Source organism: Homo sapiens, chromosome 13, assembly GCF_000001405.40.
Source record: "Homo sapiens chromosome 13, GRCh38.p14 Primary Assembly".
NCBI lineage: Eukaryota > Metazoa > Chordata > Mammalia > Primates > Hominidae > Homo > Homo sapiens.
The window spans coordinates 89,966,377-89,994,217 of record NC_000013.11 but is presented as its reverse complement, the minus strand read 5'-3'; the positions used below and the strand labels follow the sequence as shown (position 1 = coordinate 89,994,217).

Below are 27,841 nucleotides of genomic sequence, written 5' to 3'. Positions count from 1 at the left end.
TGTGTTATGGATACTACACATTAATAATTTTATCAATATTATGCCTATAAGGGTTAAATAATTTGGTTGTAATATTGTTTTGTTGCCTTACAACTTGCATAGCCTTGGGGTTAAATCAACATAATCTTAACATCACTGCCAAATCACTATTGCAGTTTTTTTATTACACTCTTGCTATGTTTCAAGAAAGATTTCAGTCTTTTATATCTAATTTTATAATATACTTGCAAGGTAGTTATTTCTGTTAATTATTTTTAGATGGCATGATTGATTGTCACAGAAGTTAATTAGTTGCCTTAACTTCTAATTATTGATACTGCTGCAGCCAGGAATAGAATGCATGCCTGTAAAACCGCAATCAAGTCTATTTCCTGGACACTACGCTTTGATTTTGTCTTTGTTTTACCCATAAAATGGATTTACCTACATTAAAAAAATTATATAAAGTAGTTTACTGATAAAGATGTGAGAATTATAGAATCTTAGAAACACAAAGGATTATGACAGATTCTCATTTTAAAGAAATTGAGGCTTATAGAAGCTTTACAAGCTAAGTGGCAGAAATTCCTGGACTAAAATATTTTTGCATTACTTGGAAATTCTAAGGGGCAAACAAATTCCATTTGAACATACTTAATGCCAAATATGTTAGCCCATAACCCACACCATTTTGTAATCATTAAATATGTGTTGTATTGATTATTTACCTATTGCCTCTCAGCAACAGTTCCACCCTGAATTCTCTGCTCTTTCATGGTAGGAACGGAGTTCGAGTACCCTATTCTCAGACTATTTTGCTGGTTAGTGTGCCGAGGTTCTGTCCTCACAAAGCATTGTTCAGATATTTGAAGGCAAGGAGAGGGAATAAAAGGCCTTATTTCTTCTTGGTTTTAGGTCTGTCAGCATTTCCCTAGCTTCCAGGTTTGTTTGGTGTTTTTTCACTGTGTTTTGCAATTCAATTATCAGATATGTTGAACTTCATCAGAGAGACCACAGTGTGGGCCAGCTCTGCCTCTTCAGTGGGCTGAATCCAGGACATAGGACAATGGGACCCTTTCTCCAAACACTAATATTTGGTGACCTCACTTTCTCATTTCTGTTGCTGCTCAGTGGATGGTAGCTGCTTACTGTTTCAATCATCTATCTTGCTTTCTGCTTTCAAACAAAAGTCTAACCAATTCCCTGTATTCCAGTCACTAAAAGGCAAACAACTGTGATTATCTTGTATTAATACAATAATTTGACCAGAAATATTTCATTTGAAATCTGAAATCCAGTAATTATTTTGTTCCTTCATAAAGTATTTTATGTAATTTTGTTTTTCAGTTCTCAGGGGAGTAGAATTTAATCAGATGTACTTCTGTTGGATAACCTGTAATGGGACAAGCTTGGTGACTCCTCATATAATGAAACACACAGCCGTAATGAAACACATAGCTAAAAGTGGCAAGAACAGTATCATTCACCTGGGTTTTACAACACAAGGGGCACACAGTCTGCATTTTGGGTAAGGGAACAATCAGAGTTATAGTCTAGGTGGACAGGTGGTGGTGGAGTAGGCGGGGCGGTCAATGACTTGATGGTTTCTTGGTTTTCAGATGAGCACCACCAGTCAAGGAACTGCAAGAAGAATGCACTGACAGAAAGGCCAGTAGACAGGGAAAAGGCAACATCCCTCACAGCTTTCTTCAGAGCTGACTTCATCTTCTCACTAACACTTCTGGCTGGTTGCTGTATCATGCTGGCTTCAGCTGGTCTATGCTCCAGAGCTTGTATATCCTCAACTGTCAGTTGACCTAGCTGAACTCCAGCCAGCTTCAGCAGTGGTGAGTGATGCTGAGATTTTCCTAGGATGTATCGAAGCTGTACAAGAAACCATCCTTCCCAGGCCATGTTAACAAATGGGTAGGCTGCCAGGAAGGGTCTGTAAAATCATTTCCAGTTGGAAGAAGGGGGATGAATAGAATATTCATCCTCTTCTCTCAGCTAGAAACCAGCTTCTCCAGCTTCACTTTCAGATAGAAAAGAAGAACCAGGGACATAATTGATTTCCAAAGCTGCTCCTTTAGGAGACCAGCACTAGCCAATCTGTGACACTTGTGAGTGTCCCCCATTACTATGCTCTTCAAGCCACAAAAGTTTTCAGAAAATGAGGCACTGGTTGTAGACAGATAATACTGCTGGAGCAGAAGATGTAGCAAAGATTTCATCAAACCACCTCCACAAGAAGCCATAGTGGGTGGGATGTGATTCTGCAAGAACCTTGAACACATGCTGAAGAGCAAGTCTCACTGCTGTCATTAAACTGTCTTGTGCTACTACCGCAAAGATGGATGGCTGGTCAACAGCCACAGAAGCAGTCGTGATGTGAGCCTGTGTTCAGCCATAGTTTTCTGTGGGTACTGGCTTTCACTTTTCCCACAAACTCGTGAGCATGAACGTTTTGGGGAGGAAGGGTATCAAAATGGTGCTCAGTCTTAAAGGTAAACTTTCTGCATGGTATCCAAAACTCCAAACTCAATGAACTGGGAAAAAAAAGATCTGTTCTCGAGGCAGACGGAGTCTCAAGGAGGTTAAGAACAAAGTTGACTCGGACGTGGGTGGAAGTGGTATGTGGTAAGGGGGTAAGTTATCAAATGCTGCATCTCAGGGCAGAACGTGGCTGTGTGGGACATGTGTCAGGGAAGGAGCACGATCCCCTGGACCTGCAAACCAGGAATCCCACCCCCACCACCAAAAATGAGAGCTCAAAAGCCAGCGGATTCTGAGGATTCAGAAGTGCCAGTGTGAGTCCCAGACACAAGGACTGGCTGCAGCTGTCTGCTTTGAGTATCCCCACCAGTGCCCACTCTTGCTCACTGACCCCAGATGAGGAACAAATAATATATACATATAAAAACATGTTTTATATATAACATATATAACATGTTATATATTTTATTATATATATGCATGTTATATATAACATATATAACATTATATATATTATTTATATATGCATGTTATGTATTTCTATATTATATATTATTTATATATAACATGTTATACTTTTTATATATATATAAATATATAAAAAACATTTTTTGAGACAAAGTCTTGCTCTATCATTCAGGCTAGAGTCCAGTGGCGCAAGCTTGGCTCACTGCAACCTCTGCCTCCTGGACTCAAACAATTCTCATGCCTCAGCCTCCCAAGTAGCTAGGACTAGAGGTTTGCACAACTACACCTGCCTAATTCTTGTATTTTCAGTAGAGACGGGGTTTGGCCATGTTGCCCAGGCTGGTCTTGAACTCCTGACCTAAAGTGATCCGCCCACCTCAGCCTCCCAAAGTGCTGGGATTACAGGTGTGAGCCATCGTGCATGGCCAATATTTATATATTATATGGAGTGGGTTTTCTTCTTTCTCAAGCAAAAAGAGATATTTTGACCTTTTTGCATTTAAATGAGGCAAATAACAAAGTATCATAGAGCCACAGTAATATAAATCTCACCAAGCAAATAGTTATGATATTTTAAACATTTCTGGTCACATGTTCATCAGTGCTCACATCGCAGACACTAGCTAATCCTGACTGTTCCTTGTGTTACCGCTGCTGTTCATGCTTTCCTCTCACAGTTGGAGTGCCCTTTCTTTTCATCCTCTTGTACACTTTGACCCTTCTCAAACTCAAAGGAAGTTAGCCTGGGGCCTGAACATGAAGCTTCACCTTTCATATTATACTTTTCAGAAATGTAAAGATACTTTATTACATTTTCCTGAAGAGTGACTGTTTCTCCTTTAATTGTATATATTTCAGTATTTATCACAATTTTTATAAAGATGGGGTACAAATTATAAGTACAAAACCCATTTAGTCATATATTTTAATTCCTGAATTCATTTAGCTTTGCCTTTCATGTATTATTTTGAATAACACAAAAATATTGCAAAATATGGTAAAAAGCAATGTGGCCTTTTATATCATCAACAATGCTTGCATTCAAAATACAACAACAGTGTCTTCTACTAAATACAAGTATGAAAGCAATCAACCAATTAAAGCCAACTTATAACTGAATAATAATTTAAGATTTTTAGCTCATAGTTCAATTTATTTACCTCTTCTATAAATATAACAAAAAGTTGAGTTTGTCACAAAATACATTGCTAAATTAAAATGTGGGGATTTTCTTTTCAGCATTGAAAAATTTTAGTAGATTAGAAAACTAATCTAAACTACCTGAAGGTGTTCTATGTCTGCAAAAACTAAAAGAAAGCCTTATGCAAACTATCACAAGAAAATAGTACTCAAATTTTAAGCAAAATAATACCCAATTTTTATTTTTTTACTAACTTACATTGATTTTAATTTTCTGTTTACTATATATATATATATATATATATATATATATATATATACTTTCAGCAAAACCTACAGCATATCTTTTTTGGACTAGTGTATTTTCTTTCCATCCAGATGAGTTGCTTTTAGCTCTACCCATCTCTAATATGTTACCAAGATATTTTAATAGTTGTTAGATTATGTAATATTTAGAAAATATTTTTCTCCCAGATGAAGACTAAATTTCCTCATTAAGAATATGAACTTCAAAAATATATTTAACTTGTTACTTTTTCTCTTTTTCTCTATATGTAGTTTTTCCCATTTTTCACCCTCAGGAAATGTTTATTAAGCTTCCAGTATTATTACCTTTGTACATGCAACAGATATTGGTAGTTACGCATCATGTACAGTCTAGGCACTGACATTACAGTGATAAATGAAAGATACTACCCCCATGTTTGGCTTACAAAATTTGGGAAGCTAGATAGAAAACATGAATATACTGTTGATCATGTAATTTTAATTGTGATTACTTCAGAGAACACATGCAAAAAGTCCTGATGCGGCAGGGCGCGGTGGCTCACGCCTATAATCCCAGCACTTTGGGAGGCCGAGGTAGGTGGATCATCTGAGGTTAGGAGTTTGAGACCAGCCTGACCAATATGGTGAAACCCCATCTCTACTAAAAATACAAAAATTAGGGATGGGTGTGGTGGCTCACACCTGTAATCCCAGCTCTTTGGGAGGCCAAGGCGGGCGGATCACGAGGTCAGGAGATCGAGACCATCCTGGCTAACATGGTGAATCCCCATCTCTACTAAAAATACAAAAAATTAGCTGGGTGCCTGCAGTCCCAGCTACTTGGGAGGCTGAGGCAGGAGAATGGCATAAACCCAAGAGGCAGAGCTTGTAGTGAGCTGAGATCACGCCACTGCACTCCAGCCTGGGCGACAGAGCAAGACTCCATCTCAAAAAAAAAAAAAGAAAAAAAATAAAGAAAATTAGCCAGGCATGGTGGTGTGTACCTCTAATCCCAGCTACTCGGGAGGCTGAGACAGGAGAATTGTTTGAACTCAAGAGGTAGAGGTTGCAGTGAGCCGAGATTGCGCCGCTGCACTCCAGAGTGACAGAGTGAGAATCTGTCCCAAAAAAAAAAAAAGTCCTTTTCCTTGAGTCACATTTCAGGTACCCAAAACATAGTCCATAAATATTATAAGACAAATGATTTTAAAAGGCAAAGTGCTGTTTGATTCCAAAGACTACAGAACTGAATCTTTTCTGTTCAGACAGAAAAGAAAACATCATCCCCCTATAGAAACAAGACAAATATACAAAATTAAAGAACAGTCCGGGAGATAAATTATATCAAAACAATAGCAAAATGTGAACAAAAGACATTTCCCAAGAATCAATTCCACATGAATTAGTCTGAAAGTAATTCCTCTGGCATTTATAAGATGAAGAGCTCTATTCAAGTTCAAGGGCTGAGGAACTGCTTGTTCCAAAAATTGACGTATCTGAGTTGTAATTCGATGGCAGAGAAGAATTTGTATGGGTGGAAAGGACATTTCTGGGTGTATTTCAGGCCGGTGAAATACAAGAAGGGGAAATCAAAGATAAATTGACAAAATAAACTTAAACAATATTACTGAGAGGTAGCAAAGGGATAATTTTTCACTTTGCTGCTCCTGCTGAAAGTGGCATTTCTTAAGAAATAAGAATTACCTGTAGAATAAAAAAAAATAAGCAGTTCTATATAGCAGTCAATATGTTTCTTACAAAAGCATGGGAAGCAAATTTCTTCCATCAGAAAAGCTCTGAAATAAGCAGCAAATGTGAAGATAATTCAGTAAAGAAGAAACAGACCTCTTGCATTTGTATATATGAGGTAATAGAAATAACAAAATACATAGCAAAACTTACAAAAAAAAATTTGTAAAGGTCCTGGCCTATAAACTCTCAATAGGGATAAAAGGAAAACTGTAACATTGAAAATAATTGACTTTGATGCAAGACTAGTGGAGAAACCAGGAGAGATACAAAACAGAGTAAACAAATAATGGGCAGCAAGGAATGTAGCAGAAATTTTCCAAACTACACTTAATTTATAAAACATGTGAAGACTGTTTTTTATTACACTGTTATTATATCTGATTATGTAAGCTGTTAGTGTCAAGCTGTTTAACTGTATATGCTGTATTTCAAGTTTGTCATAATCCTCAGTGAAAAATAGTGGTTTTATAAAGTCTCAAATTTTAAAAATACTGACTTTTTAAAGGAGCTATACCTAAGCAGGTAGATTAAGTAACCATTGCTAAAACATTTCTAGTTAAATAATGTACACAGCAGCATTTTGAAGAAGAAAATTATACATAACAGAAGGCAGATATACATTGCGGTAGAAACACACATGTTTATCCTAAGTCTTCCATTTTGGAAACTTCTTTAATTTTTTTGAGCCTTAATATCTTCAAAGAAGAAGTATTTAAAATTGATAATGCATATTTAATAGTTTGAGGATCATATATAGTATTTTTTACCTTGAAACTAGCATAAGTTGTTATTGAAGTATGATATTGAGTATATAGAAAAATCAAAAAGGTAATAATAGCAAATGTTATTAAGAAGCAACAGAACTCACATAAGTTTCTGACTTTTGAACTGAATTGCATAAAAGTTAATACTGCGCAAAGCAGCATAAAAGAGAATTGTGATTTGTATTATTTTAAGCCACTGCTTCTTAGGGACAAATTTGCATTTTGATTCAGTCTCTCAAACAAATGTAGCAATATGTAATAAATACATAAATAAACAAAAAATAAATAAATAAAAGCAACAACAAGTTTAGGCTCATTTCTAAGCCCAGGGACAAACCTAAAAATTCTTCTAATATAATTTTTGCCAGGCCTTCTATCCTAGTCCTGCTCTTTCATGTGACCTAGGTTATGAACTCAGCATATGTCCAAATTTTTAACTTTTCTCTATTTTTGGAGTACAGTTTTGCTAATGAAGCTCGGGGGCAAAAAGAGCTTAAATATGCATTATTTGGGATATTAAGATTTTCAAAAATTTTTTACAATTATCATTAAAGGTTATTTTAAAAATATAGTGTCCACCTATTGTTAAAGTAGCCTCTCCAGGATTACCTATTGAACTATAAACCGAAAGAAGAAAGAAATTTCAGTCTCCAATACTTAATTTTTATTCCTACAATTTTGCTCTTCCAAAATTTTGCTTGTGTTTATATACTTCTATATTTAAGTCATATATAATTCATATAGGCCTTAAGGGAAAACTGCTCTATTATAATAAAAGTAAAGTCCATAAAAACTAATTAGAAAATAATTACCAAGAAGACAAAGAAATGAGAAATGTTTCAAGCTTTGAAAAATGTCCCTTCTATATTAGTCTTCCACTTTGTCTTAGTAAGCTCAGGCTATTATAATAACATACTAGAATCTGGGTGGCTTAAACAACAAACTTTTTTTTCTCATATTTCTGGACATTGGAAGTTAGAGTGTCAGCAGTGTCAAGGTTCTTGGTGAGGACCCAGTTCTAGTTTATAAAACTTCTTCCTGTGTCCTCAAATGGCAGAAAGAGCCAGTTTACTCTCTGGTTTCCTTTCATAAGGGCATTAATTCCATTCACGAATACTCCACTCTCATGACTTGATCACTTCCTAAGAACCTCACCTCCAAATACTATCATACTGGGATTAGGGTTTCAACATATGAATTTGGGGAGACGGGGGTACATTCAGTCCATTGCAACTTGGTTATAAGTATGTGTTGTGAAATTCAATATTTAATGTTGATTTACTACAAGATTAAAATTTTGGAGTCATTTCCTTTTTTATATGAAGTGCACTCTAATTTTATAAACTTGGGAATTTGTCTTCAGTCATATTCCATTGAAGAAACAGGTAAGCCCATCTTAAAAAAATCTTCCATCCTACTTTGTAAAGAATTACCCATTTTGATAATAAATTGAACAAGTGTTTTAATTTTAGAATGTTAAATTTATCTCTATTGCCAAAGAGAAGTTATTATAACTTAAACATAAGACGATATTATCAAAAAAGATTTGATAAAAATTTGGACAAACAGCATACATATAAAAATAAAAATATCATTTCTTAATTTATGTAACAGCCAAAGTAACTATATTTGTTTTGGCACATCAGCAAATTCAGAACCATGGCAATGCCAAATGTCTGAACACTTTATAAAGAATATCTTATATATTCCATATATTATCTATAATTAATATTATTACTATTAATGATAATATATTATTATATATTATATATTACATATCTTATATAGATACCAAATATAAAATATCTAAACATTTTATAAAGAATATCTTATATTCACCCTTAGGCCAAAAAGTGAAAAATAATTTTGCCAGGTTTAAGAGCTTTTTTGTTTCTAATTTTTGTTTGTTTCTTTGTTTTATAAATAACCAATTTTTACATTTATTTTAGGTTATCTTATCTATTCTGATTTACTGTTGAGACTACACATCCCTATTTGGTGTAATAATGTTTTAATTATTTTAGTTGCAACTGGTAAAAACCTTTTTTTTCAAAAATATGTTTCTTGATTACTATTTTTTACATGGTAATATGAGTTTAATATGCATGCGTTTAAGCTTCAAAAGCTACAACTGGGATTTAGCTTAAAATTTCTAACTATGGCTGGGCTCACTGGTTCTCGCCTGCAATCCTAGCACTTTGGGAGGCCGAGGTGGGCGGATCACAAGCTCAGGAGATTGAGACCATCTTGGCCAACATGGTGAAACCCCGTCTCTACTAAAATACAAAAAATTAGCCGGGCGTGGTGGTGTGTGCCTGTAATCCCAGCTACTCGGGTGGCTGAGGCAGGGGAATAGCTTGAACCTGGGAGGCATAGGTTGCAGTGAGCTGAGATGGTGCCACTGCACTCCAGCCTGGAGACAGAGCAAGACTCCGTCTCAAAAAAAAAAAAAAAAAAAAAAATTCTAACCATGACAATTTGTAAACATATTGTTTCTACCATTTTCAGAATTACCTCTCAGAAATACTGTCTCTTACTCATTATTAAATTGATATATTATAATCCTTGGTAAGTTTTGGTATTATCAATCACCTCTATCAAATATATTTTTTCTTTGGCTGTTTCTGAAGTATTCTATTTTGGTTATTTAGTGATAAAAATACTTTTAAAAGAGTTCTCTTCATTTTAACTATGTCATAAACCTCTGTATTTTGGCTTATTTTTGTCAAATCATGCAATTGGAAATGTATTACTTCTATGGGCATTCCAATGGATTTCCATATCATGTATATTTTATGATCATTATATATCTATGACCATTCTCTTTCATTTCATGTTTTAACATAATCACCTTAGCATTTCATATTTTAATTGAATTAATATTGATATATTTTAATGTTTATTTTTTCAATTTCCAAGGATTTTAAAAAACATATGTTGTATTTTATCAAATGCTTTTAATCCCATTTTTAAATTTTCTAATTTTTGTATTTTATGATAGACCACATTTATATAATCCTTAAATATAATTATTACTTGTATTTCTATGAAAAATTTATATGAGAAATATATTGGCTTGGTAAAGCTTCTGCCAATACACTACTAAATTATTTTAAATATCTGATTAATTTTTATCTATATGGATAATAAAAACTAGTATTTTTTAAAGTGACTACTATACAGCAAGTACTTTCTCAAAAATCATACAAGGAGCTACACAAATAATTATTAACAAGACGAGCGCTGGTTTACATTACGAATTAGAGTTGGCTAGGTGTGGTGGCTCACATCTGTAATTCTAGCACCTTTCCAGCATGCCTGTAATTCCCAGGCAGGTGGATTGGGGAAACATGGTGAAACCCCATCTTTAAAAAAAGAAATAAAAAATTTACCCAGGCATAGTGGCATGCGCCTGTAGTCGCCGCCACCCTGGGAGCCTGAGGTGAAAGGATCACGTGAGCCCAGGAGGTCCCAGGAGGTCAAGGCTGTAGTTGGCTGTGATTGCACCACTGCACTTCAGCCTAGGTGACAGAGCAAGACAAGAAAAGAAAGAAAGAAAGAGAGAGAGAGAGAGAGAGAGAAAGAAAGAAAGAAAGAAAGAAAGAAAGAAAGAAAGAAAGAAAGAAAGAAAGAAAGAAAGAAAGAAAGAGAAAGGAAGGAAGGAAGGAAGGAAGGAAGGAGGGAGGGAGGGAGGGAGGGAGGGAGGGAAAGAGAGAGAAAAGAAAGAGAGAGAAAGGAAGAAAAGAAAGAAGGAAGGAAGGAAGGAAGGAAAGAAAGAAAGAAAGAGAAAGAAAACAGGAAAAGCAGGAAAAGCAATTTAGAGTTTAGAAGAATGGAGTTAACTAGACTTCAAATGATTGGGGAAGAATCATTGATTCTTCCAACGACATGTCTTCCAGTGATTCTGCCAATGATATGTGGCAAGTGTTCCATATTCTAAACTGAGCCCCTAGGTTTTCTTTAGAGCATTAGGAAAGAAAAGGTAAATTTGTTTTTATTTATTTTTAAGGTAAAGAATAGAGAAGAAAATATATTTGGAAGGAAACGTGAGAAGTTTCCTATCATTTTTCTTCCCATTTTTTAGTGGAAGGAGTGGATAAAAATACCTCCTCACACTGACATATCCTCTTTGAATCTGGGTACAGTGGACACTGTCTATTTCACATACGATTAGCCTGAGGTTTTGCTATCTACCTGAGATGGCTAAACAGGAGAGAGAAAATACTTCATTGGGAGCTAGCTACACATACATAAATTTGGATTGTACCAGATACGTGCTATGCAAAAAGAGAGCCAAGCTGAGACCATTTAAAATGCTCCTTAGAAATACTATCTGGAGGAATTACATAATGTCAACAACAGGGTGGACATCTGGAAGTCCAGGCACTGAGAAATTCATAAGCAGTCAGCCCAAGTGAATGCATTGCCTCAGTCTGGAAAACTAAATTTAGACATTCTTTGAGCTGGCATGTCTTAAAGTTAAGAAACTTAAAATGTACCTTACTATAGAGTAATCTTTGGCCAGATTCCAAGCCCCAAGAGATCCAAAATCAAATCATTATGCAACCAAGCAAGTGAAAATGTTTTTGCCCTTTAAACATATTTTCTAACTTCCTCCCGGCTGTTTTCCCTGGGAGGTCAAACGCCATGATTAATAAGCAAAGGAGAAAAGTAGGAGAGCAATGTGGGGGATGAAAAAGTCTACCAAATGTCCATTTCCAAATTGGATCTCCAGCCTCATATAAGGCCAAGTCAGTGAAATGAGGAATCTTTAAATGAAACTTCGAGTTTCACTATTACACAGGATAATTTAATTTTTGATTACATAATCTTTTGTGAGACTGAAAGTAACTGCAGAAACGGCTATGTTGTCATTTTGTTGAGTAACTACTAAAGTCACAAGAAATTCCTTTAATTTCATACAACAGAAGGGAAGAATTAGCCCCTCAGAATGGGTTTAATCAAGAAGAGGTTTGTTTATCTTGCATCATATGGAGTCCCACTCTAACTCTTGACTTAGAATACAGTGGAAAATATGGCGTAGTATTTCTAATACACCAAGACCGATATATTGCATAATTATAATATGCTTCAGCAATAAAAAGAGGTGTCTGGGACTCAGATACCTTATAATTTGAGTAATTTTTTTTTTTTTTTTAAGATGGAGTCTCACTCTGTTGCCAGGCTGGAGTACAGTGGCACGACCTCGGCTCACTGCAACCTCTGCCTCCCGGGTTCAAGCGATTCTTCTGCCTCAGCCTCCTGAGTAGCTGGGACTATGGGCACCTGCCACCACGCTCAGCTAATTTTTTTTTTTTGTATTTTATTAGAGATGGGGTTTCACCATGTTGGCCAGAATGATCTCAATCTCCTGATCTCGTGATGCGCCCGCCTCGGCCTCCCAAAGTGCTGAGATTACAGGTATGAGCCACTGTGCCCGGCCCATTTACCTTTACTTTAAAATATATATATATAGTATTTTCTTGCTTAATTGCACCATAGTAAATATAGTCATTCTTTTTTTAATGGAAGTTTGGATGACGTCTTTTTTCTTTCTAATGTTACAAACAAGGCAGCCATGAATATTTATGTACACATCTCTTGTTGAAAATGTTAAGTTTTATTTAGAATGCCTGACATATGCTCATTTTCTTTATTAAAAATATTAACACATTTTGTTTTAAATTTATTTATTCTATAAAAAATGTGATTAGACCAGTTTTACACTACTATATATATTTTTTAAATGTATAAGTTTCAGAACACATGATTTTTTGTTCTCATAGTGGTCTTTTTTCCTGTGTCATTTATTTAGTTCTAAAAATAAATTTATTTTGTGTGCTTTTTATTGTTTAGACTATATTGTTCTGCTTTTATTTCCTCAGAAATTATCATTATACATAATGTTTTTAATTTTATCATTGCTACATGTGTAAAACACACATTTAAGATTAACTGTTCTTCTCAAACAAGAGGAGTATTTTTTTATTTTCTCCTCGATAGTATAAGGATATCTTTAGGTTTTTGGAATTTCCAAATACCTTTCAATACAATTTGAAGTGTTAGATAACTATCATGTTTACTAAATGTTAGACACTCCATATCTTCTTTCCTAAGACAAGTGATTTAAAGTGTACTTTATCATTGTGTTTTCACTTTATCATTTGTTTGGATGTATTTATCTCTTGGTTGCAAGTTACTTAACACTTTGTATGTGTGTGCAACAGGAAGAAGAAATGAAAGTGATCAAGAACAGTACATTATCTGACTTTCTGTTTATTTGGAAATGCCTTGTGTTTGATTTTCTACATGGGTGACTATTCCCCTGAGTATAACATTCTTACTTTAGAATTCTTTTAGTATTCAAAAGATGCTATCACATTGCTGTCTGACATTTAATGTGAGTGAGTCTAGCCTGATTTAATTTCTTGGCAAATAAAGGAAATATGGGTCAATGCTAATAAAATACTGTAGTTAATTTTAATGGTTTTTTTCTGAGATTTATTTAGATGTTATACATTATGTGTTAAACTAGATGAATTGGCTTTTCTTTCTTCCAAAAAATACATTAATATAATGCTCAAATATCATTACTTACTTTTTTCCTTTTTTATTGTTTGGCCTGAATACATACGCAAAGTTCAGTAAAATAGTATTTTATTGCCAAAGAAAAATAAAAAGCACTAGATGCAAACAACATTATTTTCTTCTTCATATATATAACCAAACTTTTATTAAGAAAAAATTTATTCAACTATATTTAGGTTATTTCTTCTAGTCTGAGAATTAAGTTTTTATGAAATGTATTCTTCCAATCAATAAAAATTATACAGATTGTTTGATTTTTTACATGTATTATTATATAGGTATTATTTTCTTTTATTATTATTTCTGTTCTTATTAAACTATCTTGTGAAGATTTGCCTTTTTTTAACACTATTTTACTCTTCTAAAATTTCACATTTATTTTCAACTTCCTTCAATGACTATTTTGACCTATTTAATTTTCAATTCTACTTCTATTGTTCCTTTGATTGGACAATATATTATTTGTTTTTGCATTTATTATCATGCCTCTATAAAATAAATATCAAAATACTTATTATTCAGCTGTTTGTTTGTAATTTACCTTCTTGTATTTTTAAAATAATTCTTGTCAATGTATTGATCCTGTTACAATAAGACATTTTGTCACCTCCCTATGAATATACCAAGAAATGTTTTTTAAATATTTTTATACAGTTTTATGGTAAATTGTATGATTATAGCATGATCTCATTTTCATTATTGTGACAATCATCCCTTCCTGGAGCCTTAGTTCATCTCCCTTTGTCTGTTTTATCTCTTTTTTCTGTTTATTCATTGATATTAGTATTTGTAACAATCAAAGGCAATATTGACCAAGAGATAAAATCTTTGAATTGTTCTTGATAATGCTCACATTAATTTTATTCTAGTAAATTTATTTGCCAGAAGGGGAGCAAGGGGAGGAGTTTGCTGTGAAAACGTGTTAATCTTCATTATTCAACCTCACAGTTTAAATATCTATACACTAATTTAGTGAATATTTTCAGAGGATTTATCCACTGATGACTTAGACACATTAAATTTTAAATGCTGGACCACTTTTTAAAATGAACTTCCTATGTTACAATGCTCAGCTGGTATCAAATGTATCTTGTTCCCAGTAATATTGATGCTAGGAAAGGTAATGTTTGAATGGTTATTAAAAAAAAAGGATGTTTTTGTGGATTGGTGAGTATAGGAGTAGATCACTAACAACTTTTCAACTGCCCTCTGGCTAATTTAGAAGCTCCTTGAATTAAAAATTGGATAAATGCCTACTTATTTGTTGAATGAAGATAACGTGATTCACGGTTTATTCTGTTCAGGCTGCTATAGCAAAATATTATGAACCAGGTGGATTCAAAATAACAGAAATTTATTTCTCATAGCTGTGAAGGCTGGCAAGTCTAAGATCAAGGTCCTGACAGATTCAATGTCTGGGAGTATGATGAGAGTTCTGGCTCATTGACAGCCATCATTTCGCTATGTCACCACTGGTAGTGTCAACAAAAAGAGGCAAACTCTGTAAAACATTTGAAGAGGTTTATTCTGAGCCAATCATGAGTGACTAATGGCTCATGAAACAGCCCCAGAAAATCCTGAGAACATGTTCCCAAGGTGGTAGGGTTACTGCTTGGTTTTATACATTTTAGGGAGACATAAGACCTCAATCAATATATATAGGATGTACATTGGTTCTGTCAAGAAAGGTGGGATAATTATAAGCAGGAGCTTCCAAATCATAGGTAGATTCAAAGATTTTCTGATTGGCAATTGACAATTGATTGAAAGAGGTTTTATCTAAAGATCAAGAATCAATAGAAGGGAGTGTCTGGGATTAAGACAAAGGGTCATGGAGACCAGGGTTCTTATTATGCAGATAAAGCTTCTAGGTAGCAGGCTTCAGAGAGAATAGATTGTAAATGTAAATGTTTCTTATCAGACTTAAAATGGTGCTAGACTCTTAGGTAATTCTCTCCTGGGTTTGAACAAAGACCTGAAAAGGGCAGGTGATTTTCTACATAATGTAGATTTTCCCAATATACAGCTTTGCAGGGCCATTTCAAAGTATGTCAAAAATATACATATATTGGGTTAAAATACTTCAGTTTCTTTCAGGGCCTGCTATTTGCCATGTTGGTGTCTTATTGCTACAAAGAATCTACTTTGTTAGTCCAAAGGTCTCTGTTTTAATGTTAATGCTAGTCAACTGTGCCTGAAATCTAAAGAGAGGGAAGTATAATGAGGCGTGTCCAAATATTCATTCCCATTATGATCTGAATTAGCGTTTCAGGTTTACTTTAGAATGTCCTTCAAGAAAAAGTGTCCGTTCAGTTGACTGGGGGACTCAGAATTTTGTTTTTGGTTTATAGTAGAAGGGGTGAGGAAGCTCTCTGAATCCTCTTTTATAAGGGCTCTGCAATTATAACATAATCACCTCCCAAAGGCTCCACCTTCTAATATCATACCTTGAAGGTTACAACTTCAACATATGAATTTGGGGTTGGGGTTGGGCTTGGGGTTAAGGGGCACAAATATTCAGACTATGGCAGTTCAGGACAAAACAAAGGAGATGTAAATGTTTTCCAGGACTGTAACACAACAGTGCTACAGAGGACAAGTCATATGCTGGTTAACAGTTTTGCTAATTGTTTCATTTTCATGTCCATTATGGGTCTTCCAGCCAGATTTCATTAATAGTTCGCCGTTTTCTTTCTTTTCTTTTTTTTTTTTTTTTTGGAGACAGAATCCTGCTCTGTCGGCCAGGCTGGAGTGCAGTGGTGTGATCTCAACTCACTGCAACCTCTGTCTCCTGGGTTCAAGCGATTCTCCTGCCTCAGCCTACAGAGTAGCTGGGACTATAGGCACGTGCCACCATGCATGGCTATTTTTTTTTTGTATTTTTAGTAGAGATGGGGTTTCACCGTGTGAGCCAGGATGGTCTCGATCTCCTGACCTCATGATTCGCCCACCTTGTCCTCCGAAAGTGCTGGGATTACAGGCATGAGCCACTGCGCCTGGCCTGGAGTTATTTTTTTAATATTGTGCATTGTATATTTTTTTCTGTTTTCATAGATTTATTTAGGAGAGTGTATGACATGATGAAACAGTGAGACAGTACTTGGTAAGCTTAGTAGAGGCCACCTTAAATAGCAATCTCATTCCTTCTAGTTTTTCAGTCAAAGAAGAAAAAGTACAAATGAAATATTTGCTTGCACTAATCAAAACACACAGCAAAAATTCTGAGCAAAAGTGTCTCTGAAAAATTAGAGAACATTTAAATTTATTTCCCAAGTGAAAGAATAAATTCGATAGTATAAGAATAGTAATTGGTATTTGTTTACACAGACACACATGTCAGAAGCATGTGAACCAGAGCAACTCCATCTTAAATAGGAGCTGGGTAAAATGAGGCTGAAACCTACTGGGCCGAATTCCCAGATGGCTAAGGCATTCTAAGTCACAGGATGAGACAGGAGGTCAACACAAAATACAGGTCATAAAAACACTGCTGATAAAGCAGGTTGCAGGAAGGAGCTGGCAAAAACCCACCAAAACCAAAATGGTGACGAAAGTGACCTCTGGTCGTCCTCACTGCTACACTCCCATCAGTATCATGACAGTTTACAAATGTCATGACAACATCAGGAAGTTACTCTATATGGTCTAAAAAGGGGAGGCATAAATAATCCACCCCTTGTTTAGCATATCATCAAGAAATTACCATAAAAATGGGCAATCAACAGCCCTCCAGGCTGCTCTGACTATGGAGTAGCTATTCTTTGATTCCTTTACTTTCTTAAAAAACTAGCTTTCACTTTGCAATGTGGACTCCCCCAGAATTCTTTCTTGAGCGATATCCAAGAACCCTCTTTTGGGGTCTGGATCAGGATGCCTTTCCTGTAACACACAAACCACCACCATCAACAACAAAGCATTCCTTCTTTATAAAGATACACTTCCAGGCATATACCTCCCTTGGTGTGGATATTTTTATATTTGGGTTGTCTGCTGTAGCTAAAGTAATAATAATTAAGAAGTTCCAAAACAAAGAAATGATAAGGACTCAAGGTGATGGATACCAGAAATGCCTGACTTGGTCATAACATATTCTATGCATGTAGAGAGCTCTTACATGTACCCCAGAAATATGTAACACATTACGTATCAATAACAGAAAAATATGTAAAATAAAATAATTTTTTAAAAAGCAGTTACATACAAAATAAGACCCTATTGATTTTTGTTATTGTTTTATGAATTAGAAAAACAAAGACCAACATCGGCTTATAGTCACATAACTAACTAGGAATAAATTAGAAAAAAAAATCTTTTTTTTGTCACAGATATCAAGTTATTCATTGAACAACTATAATGTAAGAAGACTGTAATTACCAAACATTCCTGGGGTTGTGGCAACCATACGGCCCTAATTTGACATGCAGACATTTTAGCTAACTCCTCTTTTTAAAATCCAGTAAATGTATTTAATGCTACAGTGTTATTAAATGAATATTATAGCTTACAATCAACTGGATCTTAGAATCACAGAAAATTTCATTTGCTCAATGAACTATCAATAGGAACTAAAAATAGGTAAGTAATTATTCTTCAGTGTAAGAAAATTTTGGTCTACTTGAAAAAATATATGCATGTATTATATTCAGATTCTTTATAGATATGTTTGATATATGTGTATATATACTTATATGTATATTATATTTATGTATTTGTGTATATATGCATATATAAAAAATAAGGAAAGAATAAAACCTAAAAAAATACAATATTAAAATGAATACTTCAAAATGCTATCTATATTTTAAAGGAAATCTTTTTTACTGAGAAAAATATCCTGGTAAAACATTAGTCTATGTTCTAAAAATTCAAACTAAATCACTAAAGCTACATGTTGTGTTAAAATAAAATAAGTAGTCTCTTTCTCTGAGTTTTATTAGACTGAGTTGAGATTGGTAACAATTCACAAATTGAGAAAATGTTATTATTTCAAAAATTGATGATTATTTGTCCAATAAATAATGTGATATAAATTCATTATTACTCCTCAAAATTTCATAAGACTATGAAGTACTTCATGACTGTCTTTAGATATCATTTCTTCTGCTCCTTCAAAAGAATTTCCACCAAGATGCAATCAGTATTTGTCAAATTATCAATCATTTTATCATTCCAATGCTTGTAAACCTTTAAGCATTATATCTAATCTCACTTAAATTATTCAGAAAAATGTTTAACTGTGAAGAAACTATAGATATTACACTATATGTTTGTTGACAAATATTACATTGTTGACAACTTAATTTTTATTATCTAATGTTTGCTCTGTAAGCTCATTTTAACTTTATAAAAATTTATGTAGGAAATGTTATTGGCTATTTAAAGTTGTATTTACTTTCTCTTATTTTAAACTTAAAGTTAGTACTTTTCTCTAAAGTATCATTTTTAACAAAATATCTATTAAGCATGGAATCAAAATATGTGTACACATGTACACTGGTTTATCACCAAAATTTTTAGCACTTCCTCTCTCCACCATCCAGACAATATGGTAGTTAATAAGAAAAAAAATTGAAGAAACATAAAATATAGGCCATAATATTATTAAAATTAAGATGACTGGCAAATGTCAGTTAGTGTAATTAAAAGCCTAATTTACACTCAATATGAATAATATTTATCAGATTATTTATTCATTTAGCAAACTACATTATTGAATTTGACATGTATTATGTACCAGGACAATATTGTATATTATAAAACCTATTCATTAGTTGTCTCTTTAAGAACAGATTATTCTGTTTTGAGGATCGTTCTGCTAATCAAAGTATTATGCTGGAGAGCAGAAAGAATGCATATGTCATTTGCAAATAAATGATTAGCAATTCTCAATTCCCCACAATAGAAAAGTAGTTAATATTATCACATAGTTATTATACTATGCAAGGAAAGAGTGACTCCATCTGGGACAATCATCAGCATCTTTGCAACTATTTACACAAATTCAGTAAAAAAGGTAGAGGACTTCCAACATTTTCCTTTAGAGAGATATAATGACTGGCATTATCACCGACTGGGATATCTTTTTTCAAATGATTATTGATCTGGTTTGGATCTGTGTCCCTATCCAAATCTTATGTTGAATTGTAATCTCAGTGTAGGAGGTGGGGCATGGTAAGAGGTGATTGGATCATAGGGGCAGCTTTCCTCCTTTGGGGCTAATCTGGTGATAGAGTTCTTGTGAGATCTGGTTGTTTAAAAGTGTGCGACACCTTCCCTCTCACTCTTCCTCCTGCTTTGACCACATAAACGCTTGCCTGCTTTCCCTTTGACTTCTGCCATGAGTAAACGCTCCCTGAGGCCTCCTCAGCCATGCTTCCTGTACAACCTTCAAAATCATAAGCCAGTTAAACTTTTTTTTTTAATTATAAATTACCCAGTCTCAGGCATTTCTTTATAGCAATGCAAAATCAAACTAATACAATAATAGTTTACTACGTAATCCATATTTACTTACGTTCCCATTGTTAACTATGGTTTCCAAGATGATGGAACTAGACAATAAAATATAAATTTTTAATTTTAAAATTATGAATTTCTCTGATGAAATATTTTCTTCTCTTCAGTATATAGTTGTCAGAGAAATAATCACATAATTGGCATTATTTCAAAGATGTACAATGGAACAAGTGTGATTGTAATATTTAATGAGGAAAACCAAGTCACCATCTAATTTTTGACTCTATAAGGAAAGTCAATTTTTAAAAATGCAAATTCCAATATCCGAAACTGTATTTATTTTTATTTTTGTGCTTATTTTTCCATATTATATGCTTTAAAGATTTTGTTAACTTTCTAACTAGAGTATTACTTCTTTTAGAATAATTCTTTCTATGCAATATTAAACCTAAATTAAAAAGAATAATTCTTGTTTGAACACGTTATATTATTTAAATATAGATATATTGGTTCTTGCACTTACTGGCTTTTGCTTCATTAATACATATCAAAGTAACATGTAAAATTCATATATTATTGTCTCAGCTTAATAAATTATAGAGCAGAACACTTTTAATGACACAAATCCATTAATCTATATCCACATCTGCAGTATTTTTTACCTAGTAACTTCTCTGTATTTTCTTACATTTTGAATATATAAAAATCCAGAGCATCGTTTTCACAAAGTAAACATTGCATCTATATTTTTGGATGCTGCGTTTCACTCTTAAGTGGTCAAAAATAGTGTTTTATTTTAATCAAGGGAAATAAAATCTAGATAGACAAGGTAAATATCTAGGTAAATTAAGACACAGCCATAAACATAAAACTTAAGGCCAAACTACTAAAAAAATTCCAGTTAGCAGGTCTTGGATGTAAAAAATACAATTTAGATATGTGATAAAATATGTTCATCAAATGAAATTAATAAATGATCATTTTGTTATGCTAATAATGGCTTATGAATTATATTTACCACATGGAAGAAGAAATAGAAAATGTGTTAATTCTAACTTTATTCAGAGCTGCACCACTGCACACATTCAATAAACATCTTTCACATCACATATGTAAGGCAATGTCTGGAGTTGGAAGACATAAAGTTTGTAGCTGTGCACAGTGCCCTTCTATACCAAGGATTTTGGTGCAGGAGATCACACCTATGAGTGCAAATGTAATCCAAATTCCTCAATTTTGCAAACACCCATTCTTCCCCAAAGTATTGTTTTAAGATTTAGCAATACATTTAATCACCACAAATTAGTTCATTCATTTTGCAAAATGGAAATGAAATTACTGTAGTATTACAAGTATTCTTGTAAAAGTTAAATTAAATAATACCTACCAAACTAATTGATTCAGCCTATATAAATAATTGAAAGCATAACTGTTGTTACCACTAAATTAATTAAATTATTTTAATTTCATATAATTGTTATTCAATAACATAAGCCAAAAGTTTTCATTGCAAAATGAACCACTATGCTTTATAGAGTGATAACAATTTTAAAACGTATTTTAAAATACTAGGTATTCACAATAAAGAAAATATTACTTTAGAGACCAAAAACAAATGATTGATGTGCAAGCTGGAGAAAAACACATTAAATCATAAACATTATTTTATTTCCTTAAATATTGAAGAGTGTGGCTCTTTTGGAAAAGAGAATGTAAACAGATTCTTGAAGTGTTATCACTAAATCATGTCTAAACAATGTAAAATCAGTCCAGAGTGTTTCAGAGCAAACCTCTAAAAGTAATGATATGTAATTCCTGTATAGCATACACAGGTTACTCCAGTTAAATCTCATTTCTCTTTACCACAAAAGAAAGAATTCAGAAAAATAATTGTCAGAGTCAGTAAGATAACCTGAAGCTATAACAGAAAAGTGGTTAACAGAGGAAAAACTTTTAAAAAAGAAGAAAAAAACACTGATAAGAATATATATAAAAGAATGCAAATGGCCCATTATTAAGAGGACATAAGGGTTTCTAAGTAAGCCTGATGTATTTTCATTGGCAAAATTGCATTTTATATGTCAAAATGCTGTGATCAATTATTTTTACCGTACAACTAAATAGAGTTAAAGGTACTCCAAGAGACATGGACACTCTTTCTTCAGAGTGAATTTCACTGGTTATGTCACACAATTTTATATTTAGAACCAACCAACTCAATTACATATCTCAATTTCAGATTTATCTGTCTTAGTAGTTAAATGTATTAGTTCATTTTCACTCTTCTATGAAGAAATACATAAGACTGGGTAATTTATAAAGGAAAGAGGTTTAATTGACTCACAGTTCCACATGGCAGCAGAGGCCTCAGGAAGCTTACAGTCACAGTGGAAGGGGAAGGAAACGTGTCCTCCTTCACATGGTGGCAGGAGATAAAATTGCCAAGTAAAGTGTGAGAAGCCCCTTATAAAACCATCAGATATTGTGAGAATCCGCTTACTATCACCAGAACAGCATGAGGGTAACTGCTCTTATGATTACCTCCCACAAGGTCACTCCCATGACACATGGGGATTATGGGAACTACAATTCAAGATGAGATTTGGGTAGGGACACAACCAAACCATATCATTAAACATATTTCTATTTCTATATCTATTTTACTCCTTTATACTTCAGCATTCAGGAAATTTAAAAGAAATTTGACTGATTCAGAAAATACTTATTCAATTTTTATTCACTTATTTAACAGACATTTATTGAGCCTTCATTGTGCTAGGCACAGCTTTAGACCCTAGGAATATGCTGATGAGGAAAACATACTCTTTCATGAAGTTTACTTTCTACTGAGGGAGTTTGAAAGTAATCAAGATAAATATATTAAATATGCAACATGTTGTATGGCCACAAAAACAAAAGAGAAAAGTAAAGCAGGAAAAGGAAAATAAGAAATGTTGAAAAGGTTTTGCAATAGCTTCAAATTTGGATCCTGAGCTACTGAAATATCATTGCTACCATTTACCAAAATGAGAAAGACTATGAAAAGACAAGGCATGTGGGTAATATCAGAAGCTCAGTTCTAGGTGCATTGTTTTTGATGTTTGTTTATTATTCCTTAAGATTCAAGATTCTGTGGTTCCTGGGACAGATCTAGGCTAGAAACGCAAACTTGTGAAATATTAGTATATGTATGTATTTAATATGGAAAAGCAGGAAGCTGTATGACATCACTGAAGGAGTAAATATGGATAGAAAGAGACTCAGTCCAAGGACTGAGCCCTAACACACTCCAGTATTAAGAGGTTAGAATATATAGATGAAGAGAATACAGCAAAGCATACTGAGGTACATTGTTTAAAATAGGAGGAAAACAGGATGAGTGTGGTGAACTAAAAACCAAGTGAAGAAAGTGTTCCAATGAAAGTTAAATGTGCTAAATGTTCTTGGTATTAAAGACAGATGAATATTGACAAATAATAATAGGATTCAGCAACATGGATATAATTAGAAAACATGACAGGAAAAGTCTTGTGGTTGGCTGGAATAGGTGGAGTGGGTTCAAAGATTTCAAAATGTTAAATGAAATGAGTGAATGAGGCCAGCTTAATCAGTTGAGGTTAAACAAACCAGCTTTCACACAAGTCACAGACACAACCATCACTGTTTTTTCCAAAGAGGTTCTCAGGAGGTTTAGTATTTATACATTTTCCTAAAAAGAGGGGAGGATGCAGTGAGACAAATCATTACATATTTGTGAGATTTTAGTTAGTGCCCAGTAAATCTACATTTTACATAAGATAAAGTGAACATTTGAAGAAAAAGGAAATAGAATAAGAAAACAATTATGCAGATTTCTGGGTAGGGGGTGAAGGAACAATTGATCTCATCTTACCTTTGTTTTGCACTAGAAATATAAACTAATAATGGACGTCTATCAGTGTGGAAGCCAACAGACTTTGGTTTTAGAAGTTAGACATCTATTGCAGATCTAGAGTTTCAATTTACATGACCTTGTTTTGTGGGAAGATACACATTTTGAAGGTTTTGAGGCTGGTAAAGAATTTACTTATGAGTGTTTTTGTGGTGAGTAGTCATCAGAAAATGTCTGAGGTTTTTGCCTTACTGTGGGGTCTGTCTAATGTATAATGGGTTTTGTTTGTTTGTTTGTTTTTTGGAGACAAGATATCTAGCAGAGTGCAGTGGCATGACCATGGCTCACTGCAGCTTCTGCCTCCTGAGCTCCAGCAATCCTCCCACCTCAGCTTCCCGAGTAGCTGGGACCACAGGCACATGCCACCACACCCAGCTAATTTTGGTATTATTTGCAGAGAAGGGGTTTTGCCATGTTGCCCAGGCTGGTCTCAAACTCCTGGGCTGAAGCCATCTAACCACTTTGGCCTCCCAAAGTGCTGGGATTACAGGCATGAGCCACCATTGTATAATGTTTTGACACCAGATTGTAAAGTAAAAGTTATTCATGTTATTCATCAGGGAAGAGGATGGCAGCATAGGGTGATTCAGTCTCCAAGCTTAACTTTCCCTTTGGCATAAGGAGTTTTGGTGTCCTGAGATTGTATTTTCCAAGAGAAATTGGAAGCAGTTTTAATAGACAAATCTTTATAGAGTCTTGTGCAAAGCGAAGGACTGTAATCATAAAAGGATGGAAAGACAATAGTGCATCATTGTTTATTTTTTTATTTTTTGGTTGAGACAGAAATTATGGCACATTTATATGTTTATGGAAACAATCCAGAATGGGAACATTTGATGCTAGAGAAGAAAAAAAGGGATAGTATTGTAAGAGTAAATACAAATCTGAAGAAAAATAATAATAATTTTCCTTTCTGTAAGAAGGAAAAGAAACTACTTCCCCTTTCTTTTTTCTTAGAGCAGTTTCTTTAGAGAGCTGGTCATTACAAATTCTTTTTCTGCTTCTTTGATATGTATGTAAATCACTGTAAATGCCAAATAAACATCTTGCTGATTTTATGGCCCAGGGATGTTTTTCTCAAGGACCTGGGAGGTATATCTTTGAAATGCAACCATCAAGGAATATAGAGCCTCTATCTCCAGTTTCTCTGGGCGTGTAGGAGCCTAACTTTAGTGGGTACCTCACTCCAAGTTGCAAAACTACTATCCATCATAAATGTATTGTTTACTTTTCCTTTAAATAAAGCCAATTAGCTGAGACAGTCACCACAAGTACCAGGTGAATTTAGGATGAACAATGTGTAACAAATGTCGCTGTCATGTCCTCTTGAAAACAAGTATATCTTGAGCACATGTATGTAAAGAGTTGTATCTGCTTGGCTTAACAAAGCATAAGAGTTCTTTCTGCCTTTGTATTCTCTTTAGCAGGCTGCCTATGATGTGCATCACATTCTGATTTAGGTTTATTCAGTAATAAAACTTTTCTTTCTATTCTTTTGTGGGGGTGTTTCTGGGTTGGCAGGAAATTCTGTTTTTAATGATATTTTCCTGACAACATTCATTGAGTCAGTACAGGGATTGGTTTCAGCTAGGAGCTCAGGTAGTTCATCTTTGGAACAGAACAGAAGGTACAGTACATGGTTACAGAAAAGAAAAGCGTGTAGGAATGGTGATGGAAACTCTTTTGATTGTTCCTCTTTTCTCAGTGAAAAAAGGAAGTGATATCAACAATAAGAGATAGGATGTGGTTCCTTGTTTGAAGTGCAAAAGGAATCTAAGATCACAAATTCTCACCTAGTAGAGTGATAAAGGTGACGGAATATAAAATTTTTTCTAGGCATTGCTAAAGGCCAGAGAAGAGTACTGCTGATTAATTTAAACTTAAACCAGTCAGGATAAAGGTATTTTTCTCCATATATCTTGAAGCACACTAGTTCTTGCACTAACTTGGGGAAGAGTTATTGGGCTAAATTTTAAGACAAGTAAGCCTGAAAAACAATGAAAAAAAACAGGAAATAATTAAGACTTTTAAGTAAGTGAATAATTCTAGTGATTGATCATAGAATTTACCTGATACATACATTTCAGATAGTCAAAACATATTATTAATTGCCTACAAGAGACAAGAATAAAACATAAACAACAGAATAAAACATGAAGAACAGAATATCCCTTATGTTCCATGAGAGACAGCACTGTGAATTTATGTAAACACATTAGTAAATGAGCATTTATTAGAAGTATTAAGTGCAGGGGACAATGTAAAATGGAAGGCTATCTTAGAGATAAAGCTGAAAATGGTCTTTGATCTTAATGATCAGGGTAGGCCTGACTGCAGGGGGTGCATTTGAAGTGAGACCTGAACCCAGAAGGCTACACTTGAAAGATTCCAGGGAATCATATCTGCCCTCCCTGCCAGCCAAATTGGCAGTGAGAACAAAGGTAGAATGAGCTTGACATATTTAGGGAGATCAAGTGTTTATAGCATAATCAGTGAGGGTTAGCTGGTGTAGGACGAGGGGATTGGAGGGGTTGGGGGGAACCAGATCAGGGAAGAGACTAGGTAGGATCTTATTCAGAATACAGTGGAAAGACTGGATAAATGTAATCAGGAGACAGATGCCTTTAAAAATGTACCCCTTAACAATATCACTGTGGCAGTTATACGGTAAATGGATGTCAGAGGCTGGAGTAGAGGAAGAAAGACATGAACAGGATTCTTACGCAGCACAGGTAGGAAATAATCCTGTCTCAGACTAGCGCTTTAGGAGTACAGGTGATAAAAGTAACCACATTCAGGAGGTTTCCTGGAGAGTGGGCCGTCAAGTATTTGTAACGAATAGGTAATATGGGTAAAATAAATAAAGGGATGAATCTAAGGTGAAAAATAAGTCTTGCCTTCAGGAGCTGGGTGTGGGTTAGTGGTATTTCCCTGAGCTCAGCAACAATTGGGATGAAAGCCAATTAGACCCCCAAAATGATTTCATGTGACTTCTTTCAATTTTATACTTAGGCAAACATTTTTTTTTTCTGTGCTCCTTGTCAAACGCTCACCCCTGATTGCTACTCTTGAGTATTTTCTTAAAAGTTGTAGGAGCCTCTGTATAGCATCTAAGAAAATATTAAATGTACAAGAAAATTAAACACCTAGAAGAAGTCCTCACCTGATGGATAATGGTTGGAGTGGGCAAGTATCCCAACCTCTTGTCCTTCAGATGAACAATCATAAGAGGCATTTTCTTTCAAAGGTTCTGGTAAAATTGAGTACCCAGTGACCCATGTGAGCAATCTCACTAATATACTCTGTATTGCCTTCCCCCATCTCTGTCTCACACTCTGTTCCCTCACTCTTCCTTCATGGTGTCATCTTCCAAATAAACTAGCTGTAATTAAATCCTTGTCGTAGGTTCTGCTTTCAGGTTAAGCCAAACTAAATCCTATTGTTGCAGGACTTTTCCTTATGTCAGCTAAAGATGGGGTCCTTGTCCATTCCACGGCCACAAAGATTTAGGTTTGCAGACGGTTTGAAGGGTAAGGCAGAGTTTTATTGGGTGAAAAAGAAGAAAAGGGGGAAACAGGGACTCTCACAAAGCCAGAGTCCCTGCTAGAGCACTTCTCACCCGCCATTCAAATCTCAGGTTCCACACAGGAAGGGAAGGAGCCTGGCTCCTGCCAGCTGCAAAGGGTGTCAACTTCTGTGGCTCCGCCCCCGTGTGCAGGCTGCTTGGAGTTTCTCCAGGGACCCTTTCCCATCTTGGTGTCTCAACATACTTTTATTCAAGAAAAAAATTCCAATTCAAAAAAAAAAAAGTCCAGGGATTCAAATGAGAGGGAGAAAGATAAAAGAAAATCAAATGAGCCTCAGAAAAGGAATTCGATATGGAAAATCTGGGACCTAGAACTGTGTGTTTAGCCTGAGTATACAACTAATATGAAGGAAAACATCCTTTTTTAGATATGCGGCACTTCAGGATACGCACTTTTTTATAATCTTTCTGAAATAT

The 27,841-nt window shown here is 34.5% G+C and overlaps 1 pseudogene; it reads right to left on the bottom strand.

Moving 5' to 3' along the window:
- Positions 1,321-2,874, bottom strand: PEX12P1 (peroxisomal biogenesis factor 12 pseudogene 1; annotated as a pseudogene).